Source organism: Homo sapiens, chromosome 14, assembly GCF_000001405.40.
Source record: "Homo sapiens chromosome 14, GRCh38.p14 Primary Assembly".
In the NCBI taxonomy this organism is placed as follows: domain Eukaryota; kingdom Metazoa; phylum Chordata; class Mammalia; order Primates; family Hominidae; genus Homo; species Homo sapiens.
The window spans coordinates 90,669,028-90,684,501 of record NC_000014.9 but is presented as its reverse complement, the minus strand read 5'-3'; the positions used below and the strand labels follow the sequence as shown (position 1 = coordinate 90,684,501).

Here is a 15,474-nt window from a genome sequence, read left to right as displayed (position 1 = left end):
ATTCTGCTTGTGTTGTGAGTTTGAGTTGTTTCCCATTTGGGGCTAATAGGAACAGTGCTTCTGTGAAGAGTCTTGTACGTGTTTCTTTTTTCCCCCTGCATCTACATGTTTCTTAATGTGTATATATATATGTGTGTGTGTTTCAGTCAGTCAGGCATACTTTTTTTCATTGTATTTCTTCTTGTAAGAAGCAGTTGAGGTAGCTTCGACAATTAAATGCACATTAGACTAGATAGTTAACACAAAGTAAAGCAGAAGATTAAAAACAGCTATTGTGGATACTGGTTAATATTGGATAATACTTCCAAGAAGCAGATGATGAAAAGATTCATTGAATGCTAGTGAGTGCCAGGCACTGTCTAAACTCCTTTGTAGGTCTCGGCGGAAAAGGTAATTATCATGGAATATTGAGTGTAGATCTGAACCTCCTGGTTTCCAGTTTTTGGTAAGGATGGGAATGCTGTTTAAAATGGAAAATGGAGGGGTCTTGGCCGGGGAGGGCAGAACATCCCGAGCCAGGCACTGGCCAGGCCCTTCCGTGGACACAATAAATCCTCAAGAGCTTGCAAAAATAAATAAATAAAATAAAATGGAAAGCAGAGGGATGTTGAAGGGTCAGGATGACTTCTTGATGGCCGAACCAAAGCTGTGTAAACGACCAGCTACACCGTTGGCTGCCTGTCATCTCCTTGCCTCTGGTGTACACAGCCCACCTTGGAGTTGTGGAGAGGCCCGTCCTCTCAGCAGGAACATGGAAACACTTGTGCAAGGTGATGTTCTATGTGGGATTCACCTGACCCACTCAGCAGAGTGTAGCCCAGTGGACCTGCACTGGGCTGCGTGAGGGACCCTTCTTTCTTTGTCATGGGGAGATTTTTGACCTATATGAATTGACACAAAATGGAAGCGTGGTGAGGCCTCGATAGTCCTTACATCAGACTAGCTGATCCCTAATAATCAAGATGCACTCTTAATTTTCAATTTAAGTCCTATTCCTTTTTTGATACCCATTTATCCACATAAACCTGGGATCGACAGTAGATTCTGCCTTGGCATGTTTGCAGACAGTGTGACTTGGGGTCGGGGTGGGACTTCAGCCATTCTTGGCCTCCATGCCTCAGCTCTTACCTGGCTGGCTGTGGTTCAGAGGCTGTGTTTCTCCAGGAATTTCCTGGTAGTATCTCAGCCAGACATATTAAAATTATAAAGGAACCATTACTAGACCTTAGAGTTGATGTTGTCATTATTTACAAATCAACTTTCTCGTGGGTTGGCAGTGTTCAAGGCCCTCCCTGCACCTAAATAGAGAATTTTAGGGGATGCCGGTGACCTTTAGACCTCAACTTGTCATTAGTTATATAATGGCTAACGATGACAGAAGAGATGAAATGCAGTTGGGTAAAGTTGGATTAATTTCTTTTGTATGATTGTGTCTACCATTAAGGTAAAGTTTCTACCTTTCGGAGGAAATTTTTAAGAAAAAGCTATTATGTGGGAGCCCTGGCAAGATGATGATTACTACTTATACCTGAGAATTCTCACCCTTGTTCCCTATGTCTTCTGTAGAATCAGAAAATGAGTTGGTAAATTCATCCAAAGTAAGAAAATGGGCAGTTTGCCTAAAGGTCACCCAGTGAGTTGGTGGCATGGCTGGGACGAGGACGCACCCTCCCATTCTCAGCGCAGCAGCTGCCCCACTGCCGCCTCCTTTGCCAGCCTGCCAGCTCTTGGGAGCTTGTCCTCATGCCTGCTGAGCCCTGTTTTCTTCTTGTCCCCTTTCGTCCCCCACCTTCCCCTTCACGCAACTTCCTCTGGATCTAGGGCCCCAGTTTTCCCACTCTTCAAGGCTGAGGCCTGGGTACCCCAGTATCTCCCCCTGAGGCTCGTGGGCCCCAAAGAGGAGAAGGCCACAAAAGGAAGGCCCCAACAGTTTTGACCCGTTCACCCTGAGCTCCATCCATGCTTCCCTGAGCAAACAAGAGGGAAGGAATTGGCCGGAAATGGGTCTAGAGAATTCATAATGATTGAGAGGGAGCCTTCTAATGTGTAGTTGTTTAGGTATGTCTCTTAAAACTACCTTTTCTCCCCCGGCTCCTGCTGGCCTTGGGAGCTTTGCAGTGCTCCTGAGTACCCACCTTGCCTGCCACAAATAGGGAGGGTAGAGGAAGTGGAGCTGGATTCGGTTAATGTGCCACTTGTTAGCAACTATGGTAAAAATAACACAAACTAGCATTTAAGCAGGCTGGATGGCTCAAACAGAATTTGGAGATTAGCCATGGACTGAATTGACTGCTGTTAAGTCACAATTAGCATAGGCTGTCTGTCTTTTCAATTGGTCTGGATAATGCAGAACCGGCTAGCCATGAAAAAAAAAATGATTCATGTTACTGCTTTATTTGCAAGATCCTAGTTGCATGTAACCACAAGCCAGGATATCAGGAAATGATTGCTGGGCATGGGTGTGCACATATGGGTGTGTGCGTGCACACATACACACAATGGTTCATGTTACTGCTTTATTTGCAAGGTCCCAATTGCATGTAACCACAAGCCAGGATATCAGGAAATGATTGTGGGGCACGAGTGTGCATGTACATGCACACACACATACACACACACACAACAACAACAACAACATACTGAGGTGGTTGTTTGGGAGACACTTAATTCAGAGCCTTTAGGCTCTATTCCAGAATCTAAGGGGAAAGAAGTGTCCCATCTGAAAAACCCAGATCATCTCAAGCTGACTTCTGAAGCAAGTCACTGCACATCCCCGAATCTTGCTCCTCATTCTCAGGCCAGCCTTTTCATAAAATTTTAGCCTCAGAAGAATGATAGAAACCATCCTGCAGGTGGCTTCCTTACCTCCAGCGGTATCAGCATTGTAACGAGAATACCAGGCGCTGCATTCCTCCTGTCTTGCTCTTTATCATCCTAAGATGCAGTACAAAAATTGCCAGCACTTCAAAGAAAACAAATGTTTGTAATTATGTGGAAATCCTTTTTTTTTTTTGCCTTTTATTGGGGGTGTGGGGAAATCCCTTCAATTACATGATTGTAATATTATCCCTGGGAAGACATAAACTTAGTTGTTTTTAGTCATCTTCAAGATATCTAGGAGTTTTTTTTAAACCAAGTTCATTTTTATTTATTGCACTCTCTTCGTCCATTTCATGAAAAAATATTGAGTTTGACCCAATTGGTGATAACATTCACAATTCTGCTCAAAGGATTCTAGAGCTTTAGAACAGGAGAAAAAATGCTGCAATTGCTCACAACACAGAAAATAGGCTATAGAGAATACAGATTGGGGTTCTGCTGACTTTTTATTATTCTCTAATCCTGAGCAACATTGAGCTTAAAAAGCTCTTTCTTTTAATCCAAGATTTAGGAGTTCAGCCAAATTCCATAAAATAGATTAATAAGAGCTCTTGCATGCTACCCCATAATAAAACTTATGTGTCTAAATAAGATAGTTCACTAAATTCTTACAGTATTAGAGAAATTATTCAAACTCTAAAATTGCTTCTAATCTCTTATTTCATCTAAACGACAGTATAAGATATGCCAGTTAGCAGGTAAGAGGTAAGAAGAGTACTGTTTAGTGAAATGCCTGCAATTTATACCTCTCTAATAGGTTTAGGAGAAAGCTTGTATTATTTAGATAATGTCAATTTATTGAAATCTAAAATTCTGCCTCTGTAATATGTACATATGTTATTTGGGCTTTTAACTTGGTTTTTACAGCTTTACTTTACCCTTCTGCCTACCACTAAAATGCATAGCTAAAATGTATGAATTCCATAGATTACCATAGAAATAGGCAAATTAATTCAAGTGTCCAAATTATACAGTATTTTTCATGGGTATTATATAAAATTCTGGAAGCTTTTAGTGTTCAGTTCTGCTTGTATTTGTATATTTTGAAACTGCCATATATCAAAGTCAGTTTTCTTTCAACTGCAGCATTTTTTGTCCTCAAGAAAATACGGAAGAAGCCCTGTTGTTATTGCTGATTAGTGAATCAATGGTAAGTGGAATGTGTTTTTACATCGTTCTTTCCCCTGGCCCTGTAGACCCTTTTTTGATATAGCCATTCTGCCAGTATCATGACTCTTTTTCTTAAGAGAAAATACTTTCTAGAGGGTATACCTGGATGGGAAAAAACAGTAGAGGTTTAAAAAGAGGGTTGTTTCTTAATTCCTGGACCAGCTAGCAATGTCCCTTGGTTAGCCTGGAGCTTGGAGCTTCTCTATCTTCTATCTTGAAGCACGTATCTTAGTTCATTCATTCATCCACCCAGTATTGGCTGAACATTATTGCAGTTGTATCTAGGTAAACCACAGCTAAAATGACCACTGGAGGAACCTTAAAAGGAGAAAGAGGCCCCCAAAGGGTGACCTTTATAAGCCTCTCAATTTGCCCTGGAGTGGGCGAGAATTTTGGGATAAGTCATTTGTTGGATCTATAAAGCTCTGGTCTTCACAGCAGGAGCTTGATGAAACTCTCATCCTCCTGCCCTTGTTGTCTCTTCCAGCTCCTGGCTTTGCCAGACACTGTAAAGTCCCAGGCCGTGAGAGCTCACTTGTCACTGCTATTGTGAGGGAGTTTTTGCCAGACCCTCTGATTCCTTTGAAACATTTTCTTAGTATTTGGCCAGAATATAGAATTTTAGGTCTATTTCACCACTCATCATTTATTGGGTTTCTGCCCTGTGTATCTATCACTAGGCGCTGTGGCCCTGGCTTAAAACCTTCAGGATCATGTGTGTAGTAATAGTGAATTCCTCAGCAGAAAAGTGATGTATACTGAGCACCTGAGCAGAATGGGTGGGCTCCTGGAATCAAAAGATCTTGAGGGCTCGCGTCCCCTTCCCTCGTTTTATACATGAGGAACCTGAGGCCTAGAGCAGGCGGAATGCGTGCATCACGCAGTGGTCTCCTGTTCCTGCTAGGAGATTGTACTGCCCCCTCCCCATAGTTGTCACCGCTTACCGCCAACCCCCGGGGCAGCCCAGGGGAGAGAAGGGAATCATAACTAAAGCAAGAGAAGGCATTTCCCTTTTTGCCCTCCCCACACATACTGTTTAATGGGAGGTATAAAATGGACTCAGGTGAGTATAGACATGGGGTCTGAGCATAATAACGTACATGCGCGGAGAGAAGGAGGGTTCAGAAGAGGCCAGAACTCATGAGAGGGCAGCTTTCTTGCCTTTGATTAAAACTTTGAATGGTCCACTGATGTTTACAAGAGCAAGTCTGCTTGAGTTACCACCTCTTTTGATCTGGAGGCTCTTTGGTGTCATTGGGCTTACTTCCTCTCAAGGAAGCAGGTTGCCCGATAGTCAGCTGATAACTTAGGGTGGTGTCATTTACATTCTCTACTTGCCTTGGTGCAATCAGGGAAGCACATAGGTGAGCAGGCTGGCACTAGGTGGCATTCAAGTGAACGAGTCTCCACAGGCTTCCCCACCGGGTCATCCATGGAGCCAGCTCATCTTGGCCTCCTGGTCAGCATTCCCTCATCCCAAGTTGGGTCCTTGGCAGGTAGTTCCCTTTGGGCAAACTTGGTTGGTTATGGTGTAAAAGTTCTGAAAGCATGATGACTGTACATTTTAGATTACCTGGACAATTCTGATTGAAAACATTATGTTCCACTGTCAGATGATGTGTTCCAGTCTGCAATTTGGAAAACATGGCCACCTCTCTAAAATGCTTGCACTAAGTGGAGATGTCTTTGGAATGATATCTCCAACTCTCCTGCTTCTTAATTGAAGTGATAGAAACTAATAATACTCAAACATTGAGATCCCTTTGAGACAGTCAGATTTGGCTCTATGGTATGTAATTGCCAGAAAAATCTCTTCAGGGGATGTTGAAATCCAGTGATGTCATCAGTGGATATGAAGGATGAGGTTTCTAACCAAAATGATTATGTTCTTCCTGTAAATCATTTCAGAAAATGTAGGTAGAAATCTAAATGAAATTGCCTTTGGAAGCCTTTTTTCCATATCCTTTGACTTCTCGATTGTTTAGTTTTTAGACAGAAAATGAATGTGCTCAATTTCAAAACCAAAATGAAAATTGCTGTGTTTTTTGGATGTCAGAAAATTGTGTTCTTTGTTGGTACTGACTTTAATTCAGAAGCATGAATTTGTCCGTCGCTTCTCCACCTACAAGGTATCATTTAGAATTGTGCTGTTTTCTAACTACAAATCAAATTAGTTTCCCCTAGGAGAATGGGATTATAAGAACTTGATTTGCAGAACTACCACTGAGGCAATATTCTGGGATATTTATTATTTGTGGGTCTGTTTGAGGTTCTATATTGTACCTTTTTAATCAAAAGATACTGATACTTTCTCTAAAAATGAAAAGAATGCATTTAGTATAACTTGAAAGTCTCTCATAAATAGTATGTTTGTTTTGTTCTCTTCCAGGCATTGGTCTCAGTATGGAACATATATAGCAAATAAATAAAATGAGACCATTTGCAACAGGCCCCTGTTTCCTTCAGAGCTGCTTTTTTTGGGCTCAAGAGGGACTCCTAACAAGAAAAACTTAGAATGAAATCTTCAAAAGCAGGCTTGTTTCCGTAAGAGATGACTCACTTTGTAGGAAGTGGCCTGTCTTATATATTCTTATTTGTCTTTGACATTTAACAGCAAGGAGTTTTAAAGTGAGTAAGTACTGATGGGTGGCTAAAAGTAAATGCCTTGGACTCACACACAAAGAAAATGCATTTTGTCTCATTAGTGAGAGGGAAGGTGTGTGTGTGGCCTTTCTGAATGTCAGGGGGAAGATCAACGTCAGCCTGCCGGGACAAGTGACCCCGGAACCTCATGTACCACTTTCACAGGAAAGACTGGGGGGGCCTTTCTCTGCTCCTACAGACAGATGGATCTGCAGACTTCTGTTAATTAGCAGAGGGAAAAAGGCAGGCGAAATCTAACTTTGTTGATTCTGAACTTCCTATTAGGGAAAAGAGGAAAATGAGCTAGCTGTTGAGTCTCAGACATGTGATATATTTGGAGGAATCTGTAGAGAAATTAAATTTTAGAAGTAATGGAAACAAGTTGCTGTAAAGAGCATTTGATTTCTGGATAGATGAGATTAATAAGTTTGAATGTGCCTGATGTATTTCTGTGCTAAGCATAGAAAATTGACGGTGTTCTCTTGAGTCCTCTGTGTTAATATCTTTTAAAGTAAAAATCTGCTTTCTTCTTGTTTTCTCTTATATATCTGTGTTGTGCTTCCTTAAACAAGATTGAACTCATCTTTGTGTTCTGTTCCAGTGAAGATGTCATATAGGGATTTGAATGTTGCTTGGTGATAGAGGAAAAGTAAGATATATCTCTGTAGGACTCATGGAACTTGATGACACAATTGGGTGTTGGGAAATGCAGGGCTGGGAATTTTCTCCCACTCTTTAATGTAGAGCAGAAGCAGGATTCACGAGTGAGGTGCAGCAGGGCCTCACTTGATGGATGATTCGGCTGCTCTAGAGCGCAGCTGCGTCTTCTATGAGGCTGGCTATGAACCCGAGGCCAGGGAAAACTTTGTATCGGCTGCCAAGGCTTCCTCCAGATGCCTGTCGACAGGTACAGGTGCCCTCTAGGTTCACACTTCCAGGACTTCAGTGTTTGGATCATCCCGTATATCATGTTCTGCGGTGCCCAGGGGATTTTGAATAAATAACCCAAGATGACAGGCCTCTGCTCATTCCTACCCTTGTCTCCATTCCCTTCGCAAATTGGTAGGGGCAGGAGGGCCTAGGTGGACTCCCCGCCATGCAGCACTAGGTTCTCTCTCCATCTGCTTCTCTATTCCATGTTTTTTCAGGCCAACCGGGACGCTGTGCTGAGCAGGATACCTGAACACAAGAGTGACCGCCTCATCAGTCTGCAGAGTGCATCTGTGGTCTATGACTTACTCACCATTGCTCTTGGAAGAAGAGGCCAGTATGAGATGCTGTCAGAGGTACAGCTGCTGAGTCTGGTTGACATCCAGGTGGTGGGTGGCAGTTGCACGGTGACCCCAGGGAAGCGCTGTGAGACCTGGTCCTGGGCCCCCCTCTATTAGTGGCAGCCATGTGATCTTGGGCCAGTCACTTAACTTTGGTTTTCTCCCCTGTAGAATGGGCCTTGGGCTAAATGATTAGGTGGTGGAATTGATCTAGTCTTTTACCATGAGAGTTCCATAACCCACCAGGCTGTGAGTTTGTGTGTGAGGGAAGGCAAACATTTCTCAAGCAGTTTCTCTTTCCACCAACTGAAAATCTCCCATCTGTGATATTAATTTCCTCATAGAACAGGTTTCCTTTAAAGTATCAATGTGTACAGTGAAATCGCCAGTGGCCTGACAATTTCAGGCACAGTGTGTTATGTTAGCTGGTATAGACCGTTTCATATAAAGGAGACAGTCTTCTTTCAGAGTCTTTTGCTTGTTCAGAAGGGACCCTCGTGGATTTCAGATCTTGTGCAAGGTACTGTCATCTTCTCACTCCCTCAGTTTCTAAGAAACGCTTAGGATGGAGGCTTGCCTCTTTCACAGTTTCAGGAGAAGCTGGTTCATCCTGGGCTATGGTTATGCATTATTAGGTTCCTGCCCAAAATATCAAATTCTACCATGGTAAGGCTAAATAAATAACAAGAAGATCACTTTATCTTTTCTTTAGCAAAATAGAGAAAAAAAAATCCCTATTTTTTAAAAGGAACTTTTCCATGTTATTTATCTTTCTCTTTCTAAATTTATACCCATTGCAACAGCCTCTGGGCACGAGGACAGGGAATGAAATACAGTAACAGATTGGCTGAAATCAGATAAGTGCCCGACTCACCCTCTAGCCTGCCAGTGCATCGCCACATTAGGCAGGAACCTTGGGGAAACAGATGAGCCTGTGTGGCTTGAATCTTTTTTTAGTCCATGGTTTGGTGACTCTACAGGGCAGTGGTTACTCAGCCTCACAATCTGGCCTGACAAAGCAGTGTGTGCAGATGCCCCCACCACATGCGGCTCAGCCCCGGGACTCAGTCCAGGCTTAGGATTGGCCTAGGTTGCTCATCACTAAATGGATCGAACCTCTCCCGGTACCTTGATTTCCTGGACCCCCCTTCTCCCCACCACCTAAGTTCCTGTCAGCTGTGTCCACCACAAAGCCTGTCACTGGGGACCATGCCACCCAGCTCACAGTTGAATTCCTTTAAGGTGAATTCGTTCCTCCAGACAAAACACATTATCACCTCTCTAGGTTCAAGGATGACAGTGGTACGCACACATCTACTTCCATCCTATTGGGTAGCAATGTTGCCTTTCCCCAGCTCGAAATCTCCTAGGTCCAAAACAAGAGTGAGGAGCTTGAGGTGTCTGGCCCTGTTGACTGGCTGGGTGGTCTCTGCCCCTGGGCTTCCCATTGTTCTGTGAACGTTCTAGGGGGTGGTCATCACCCTGGTGGTTTCCTCTGCAAGCTGTGGCTCCGGGGCCTGTGCCTGCTCCTGGCACAGAATACTAGGACCTTGTTTTCACCCAGATGACTTCTGTCTTGATATCATATGTAGCTCCCACCTCGTGGTGGTCACCTGCCTCCCAAATGACTGGGTAGTGTAGTTGCGGGAACCTTTGCAAGTCAGAACTTCACTCCCCTAGTCACATTGCAAAAGGTGGTGCAGTGCCAAAGGTTGCCTCGGGGAAGCTGGAATAGGAGGGTAGAAGAAAGGCAAATTTGTTACTGTATCTCCCCCAGAGCCTTTTGAATTTTATACCATATCTGTGTTTTATCTTCTAAAAATCTCAACCAACTGATGAAATATATGAAATGGAAGATGTTTATTTCTTCAACACATGTATGTACTATCACCTCTTCTGTGCCAGGGGCTCTGATTAAGGCCAGGGATACAGCCAGGAGCAAGGTGTGGCCCCTGCTCACAAGCTGCCCCCAGCCTGGAGCTGCCAGGTGTGACAAGCAGCTGTGGCCCATGTGCTGACGGGGGCGGGCCCAGCACAAGCTCTGCATGCCTTATCTAGGGGTTGGATACTTGGCTTCAGCCTTGCCTGTGCCTACCACTTAGGCAATTGGAGCGAGCATTCACCAACTGTGTTGTCTCAGATCATCCGACTAAAACGGTCGATGTTGTAGGAGAAAGATGAAAGCTCACAGCATCTCAAGGCTGCCTGGCCCATGGTTGGATAGCTCAGTTACTGAAGATAGGGGTTAGGTCCACCCTTTGCTGAGTGTGGGCCCTCTCTCCCTCCCTCTGTCCGAGGCCACATCCTACTCTGGGTGTCCCACTTGTCTTACTTCCTCATTTACTGGGGTTTTTCTGAATCCACTTTTTTTTCCTCCTCATCTGCCTTTCCATTTTCTCAGGACTTTAATTTAAAAGAGTAACTGGATTTTTTTTTTAATTGAAGTACAATTCACGTAACAAACCTAACCATTTTAAAGTGTAGAATTCAGTGGCATTTAGTACGTTCATACCACTGTGCAACCATCACCTCAAATTGCAAAACCTTTTCCTCACCCTATAAGAAACCCTATACCCATTAAGCAGCCACTCTCCATTCCTCACTCCCACCAAGTTCCTGTCAACTATTAATCTGCTTTTTTTTTCTATGGATACTGATTTGGGGTATTTCATATAAATATAAATAGCCAATATTTGGGCTTTGGTGTCTGGCTTCTTTCACATAGCATAATGTTTTCAAGGTTATCCACATTATAACATGGATCAATATTTCTTTTTATGGCTGAATAGTATTCCGTTGTACAGATCTACCACAATTTGTTTTTCCATTCATTAGCTGATGGAAATGTGGGTTGTTTCTACCTTTTGGCTACTATGAACAGTGTTGTTGTGAGGATAACTGGATTTTAAACTTCCTATATTACCTTTCTCTGAGCTCCATAAATGTTAGTAATTATCATTTTTATCATTTGTCTTAGAGATATGTTATATTTCCCTGTCTTCATTTCCTCCACTGTCAGCAGGGCGATCTTTCTGAGACACAGGAATAGACATGCCATCCTTCTGTTCAGAAATATTCGACAGACCCGCGCTCCTTCTTTTTTCTCTTTTTGTTTTGTTTTCCTTTCCGCCCATAATGAAATTGACTTCACTGTTTATCTTTTCGCCATATGCAATAGTCCTGCATGCTCCTTGGAGAATCAAACAATACATGCAAAATATGGAAAAGGAAAGAAAAGTGCCTTAGAATCCAGCTCTCCTGAGATAGTTGACTAATTGACATTTTAGAGGCAATCTTTACATCTGTCTTTATGAATAAATTGTGCATTATGTAAGTTTTGTTGAATGGGACAGTATCTTGCACATTTTATTGTGGATATTCCCTATCTCTCTTCTCTCCTCCACTGGCACCTCACCCATCTCTGCCTCCTCAACCCCAAACTCAGGTCATCAACATAGTGTGTCACAGGCTCTAGAGTCAGAGAGCTTTGGTTTGAGCTCTGGGTCTGCTATGTACCAGTCGTGTGAGCCTAGGCACATCATTAACCTCCTATGCATCAGTTTCTTTTCCTGTTAAATAGGGGTAATAATTGTGTGCATGTATATCTCAGACAGTTGGGAGATGCATATTCATTAATCCATGTAAAGTACTCAGAACAGAGCCCAGCACTTAGAGCTCGTTAAGAGGCAACTGTATGCTGCTGCAGTTACTACCACTGTATATACAGGAGTTACTAGGCACAGGGGAAGCAACAAAGGATACAAAAAGATCTTTTGCCTTCAAGAAATTTCCATTCTAGTTAGGGAGACCACATAGAAACAAACAAAAAGATAATCAAATTAGAGAATACATAATAGTGCAAAGCATGTTAATTGGCAGGTGAATGGAATAGGCCAATTGCAGCAGAGTTTATAGGTTGGGAGTGCCAGTAAGAGATTATGAACAATGGATATATGAATTGGCTCTTCAAGGCCTGATAGGCATTAAGTGGTCTAGGAGGAGAGAGACCCTCTTCATCCTTAAGCTTGCGGAGCTGTGAAGGCACTGGACCCAAGGGAACAGGAACCCAGGGCTTGCTCTCATGGAGAAGTGGGAGGAGAGGAGCTTGGAAAGAAAGTGTGGGGCCTGATTGTCAGCACCACAACCTGTTGGCAGACTTTACATGTGCCCCTTGAAGATGCGATCTAGACATATCACCGTGTGGCTCGTGTGTGAGTAAGTCCTCTTTGCCTCAGAAACCTTGCTAGATCTTCTTTTACATGGGTGGAAGCTTTTGTGGACAGAAGAGTTCATAAAACCATCAGTCAATTGTGAGAGAGAGAAGAGGTCTTAACTCCTTCTCACCCTGTCCTTGTGCTTTCCTTCCTTCTCTTGTCCCCAACCAGCATTAACACTTACACGTCAGGGCACAGCATGTCTTCCTGCTTCTTGGCTCCTCTCCTTGGCTGACCTGGGCCCACGGGCACCACAGAGGGTGGGGGCGCCTCTGCTGCCACTGCCAGCACATGTTCCTCTCTCTCCTGTCCTTGGCACCCTTGTGCAGTGGGTGTGTTGTGCAGCGTTGTGCAGACCCAGCCTTTTAATAACTGTGCTCACAGGGGTAAGTGGGAGCAGAGCCTCTCTTTCTCAAGGAAGCTGGCCTTTCTCTTATGCTTATTCAAGATGGAAGGCTGCTCTCCCATCTCAAGACCGGCCGCCTCTGTGTGCACCACATCATCGTGCCTTTCTTTCCTTATGGACTTTTCAGCCAGATGCTGGCCAAAGAGCATTGTACAAAGGAGACACAGACCAAAGGTTTATCACATCCTCATTCTGACAGGTTTAAATAGAAGCACAATGTTTACCATATCTCCAGTGCTGTGAGTTTTTGTGTTTTTAAAGACTAATTGTGAGCCCTGCTGAAAGGTTTGTGTAGGAAGGAACACTTCTTTTTTTCCTCTTCATTTTAAACAGCAGCACTAGTTGGCATGACAACCTGCGCTATTAAAAGTAAAGCAGCAAGCACCGCTTCCTCTGTTTTTCAGAATGAACCCAAGCTGCTAAGGAGGTTTGTCTCTTGAATTTGACTATTAATGGCTCCATTTCGACAGGATATTATGGGGTCCTTTTAGAAGGTTGTGTGTGTCCCCCCTCCATAGGCAAGGCAGCTTTAAAGACAGGAATGGTATTTTTATCTTTCCTGTTGAACTCATATTCATGTGTTTGTGGTAAATCTCAACAACACCATAGTTCTGTGGGTAGAACTGTCTGACTAGTGATTGTACCAAAAGGACATTTACACCTCCCTAACCTAAATGCTTATTTAATCAGGGAGCACAGTGAAAAGCATTGCACATCTAACAACGTCTGCTTGCCAGGCCCACCATTTGTTTAAAGTTCAGCATTGCGTGCAGTCCTGCTTGTACTGTAGAAACCCAGCCTTGAGCTACGTGCCAAGGTTTCTAGAAGGTATCAGTGGGCATGACACAAATGGATCCGTAGACTTCTGAGAAATCAAGGCAGGGTGTTTGGCTAATGCTAGGTGGTTCATAACAACTTGCTGAATGCACCAGTGCTTCAAAGCCAGTGTGCACCCTCATCCTGCCCCCTTTCCTTTGGTTTTAGAGGTCCCTAGATGTGCAAGGAGTGTATCTTCCCCAGGCAGGCCCAAAGGTTAAAGGTCATTGAGTGGAAAATGGGCAGCAGAGTAAGGGATGGGCCTGGCTTGGGGCAGAGCACCTGGACAGTTCCCAGCTCTGGTCCAGCTTTGTGAGTCGGCTCAATAGGAACCATCTTTACCATTTTTTCATGACACCCTGCCCCAAAGAATGTCAGCCTCTGACATGGCCCCTGGGATCTCCATTCTCACCATTATGGAAATGTTCTTTTGAATTAAGCATTGCTTTCTTAACGTGGTCCTCAATGAAAATGCCAACACGTTTGGGAGGAATGGAAGGGGTTTAAACTCTTAGGGTAGCATAGTTCAGAGAAACAAGGAATCTAGGTATATACCTCATGGTTTTGTTTTAGTTCTTTGTTTAAAATTTTTTTTTAATATGCCATGTTAACCTTTTTAAAGTGTAAAATTCCGTTGCATTTAATTACATTCACGATGTTGTGCAACCATCATCACTATCTATTTCCACATTTTTCCATCATCCCAAACAGAAATTCTGTACCCATCAAGCAATAACTTTTCATTCTCTCCTTCCCGATACCCTAGTAAACTCTAATCTAATTTTTGTCTTTATGAATTTGCTTATTTTGGGTACCTCATATAAAAGGAATCAGGCAATACTTGCTCTTTTATGTCTGGCTTGCTTCACTTAGCCTAATGTTTTCAAGATTCAGCCATGTTATAACAATATATCTGATGGCATTAATCAGAACTTCATTCCTTTTCATGACTGAATAATATTCCATTGTATGTATATGTTACATTTTGTTTATCCCTTCATCTGTCAATGGACACCTGGGTTGTGTCCACCTTTTGGCTATTGTGAATAATGCTGCAGTGAATACTGTCCTTGGACTTTCCTTCCTTCTCCTGTCCCCAGCCAACATCAACACTTGCACATAAAGACACAGCATGTTTTCCGAGTTCCTTTTTTCAGTTCTTTTGGGTTTGCACCTAGGAGTGGAATTGCTTGGTCATATGATAATTCTATGTTTAACTTTTTGAGGAACTGCCAGACTGTTTTTCACAGTGACTGTACCATTTTTACATTCCTACCAGCAATACACAGGTTTCTAATTTCTCCACTTCTTCACCAGCACTTGTTATTTTTAAATTATTATTAATATAGACATTCTGGTAGGTGTGATGTGATATCTCATTGTGGGATTGATTTTCTTTTCCCTGATAACTAATGATGTTGAGCATCTTTTTATGTGCTTATTGGCCATTTGTATATCTTCTTTGGTGAAACTACTATTCAAGTCTTTTGCCAATTTTAAAGTCTAAATAATAAACTCTGGTCAGCTATATTTTTAGAGATACCACACCTGCTTTTTTTTTTTTTTGTAGAGACGAGACTGTAGAAATCAGCTTGGGCTGGTCTCAGACTCTTGGCCTCAAGTGATCCTCCCGTCTTGGCTTCCTAAAGTGCTAGGATTACAGGCATGAGCTACCATGCCCAGCTTCACTTTCTTGAAATGTCTTTTGATGTGCAAAAGTTTTAAATCTTGATTAAGTCCAGTGTATCTATTTTTTATTTTGTTGCTTATGCCTTTGGTGTCATAACTAAGAATCCATTGCCAAATCCAAGGTCATGAAGGTTTAATTCTTTGTTTTCCTCTAAGGATTTTACAATTTTGCTCTTATATTTGAGCTGTTTGTCCATTTATAGTTTTTTTGTATATGGTGTGAGGTAGGAGTCCAACTCCATTCTTTTGCATGTGGAAATCCAGTTGTCCTAGCACCATTTGTTGAAAAAACTATTCTTTGCCCTATTCAATGGACTTGGCACCCTTATCAAAAACCAATTGGCCATAAATTTATGAATTTTTTCCTGGAATCTTAATTCTGTTC

At 42.8% G+C, this 15,474-nt stretch overlaps 1 protein-coding gene across 3 annotated transcripts in view, besides 1 other annotated feature; it reads left to right on the top strand.

Moving 5' to 3' along the window:
- TTC7B (tetratricopeptide repeat domain 7B) overlaps window positions 1-15,474 on the top strand; it is a 291,867-nt gene that overhangs the window by 131,929 nt on the left and 144,464 nt on the right. For all 3 annotated transcript variants that reach the window (NM_001320421.2, NM_001010854.2, NM_001401365.1), the window contains exons 8-9: window positions 3,967-4,030; window positions 7,842-7,979. In NM_001320421.2, the coding sequence (NP_001307350.1) occupies window positions 3,967-4,030; window positions 7,842-7,979 (202 nt within the window). The remainder of the gene's footprint in view (window positions 1-3,966; window positions 4,031-7,841; window positions 7,980-15,474) is intronic.
- Window positions 1,728-2,228: an enhancer, noted in NCBI's record as "H3K4me1 hESC enhancer chr14:91148618-91149118 (GRCh37/hg19 assembly coordinates)". NCBI's record gives its function as "activates a minimal SCP1, AML or CMV promoter by ChIP-STARR-seq in primed H9 embryonic stem cells {active_cell/tissue: H9 hESC(primed)}" and the evidence as "EXISTENCE:reporter gene assay evidence [ECO:0000049][PMID:30033119]".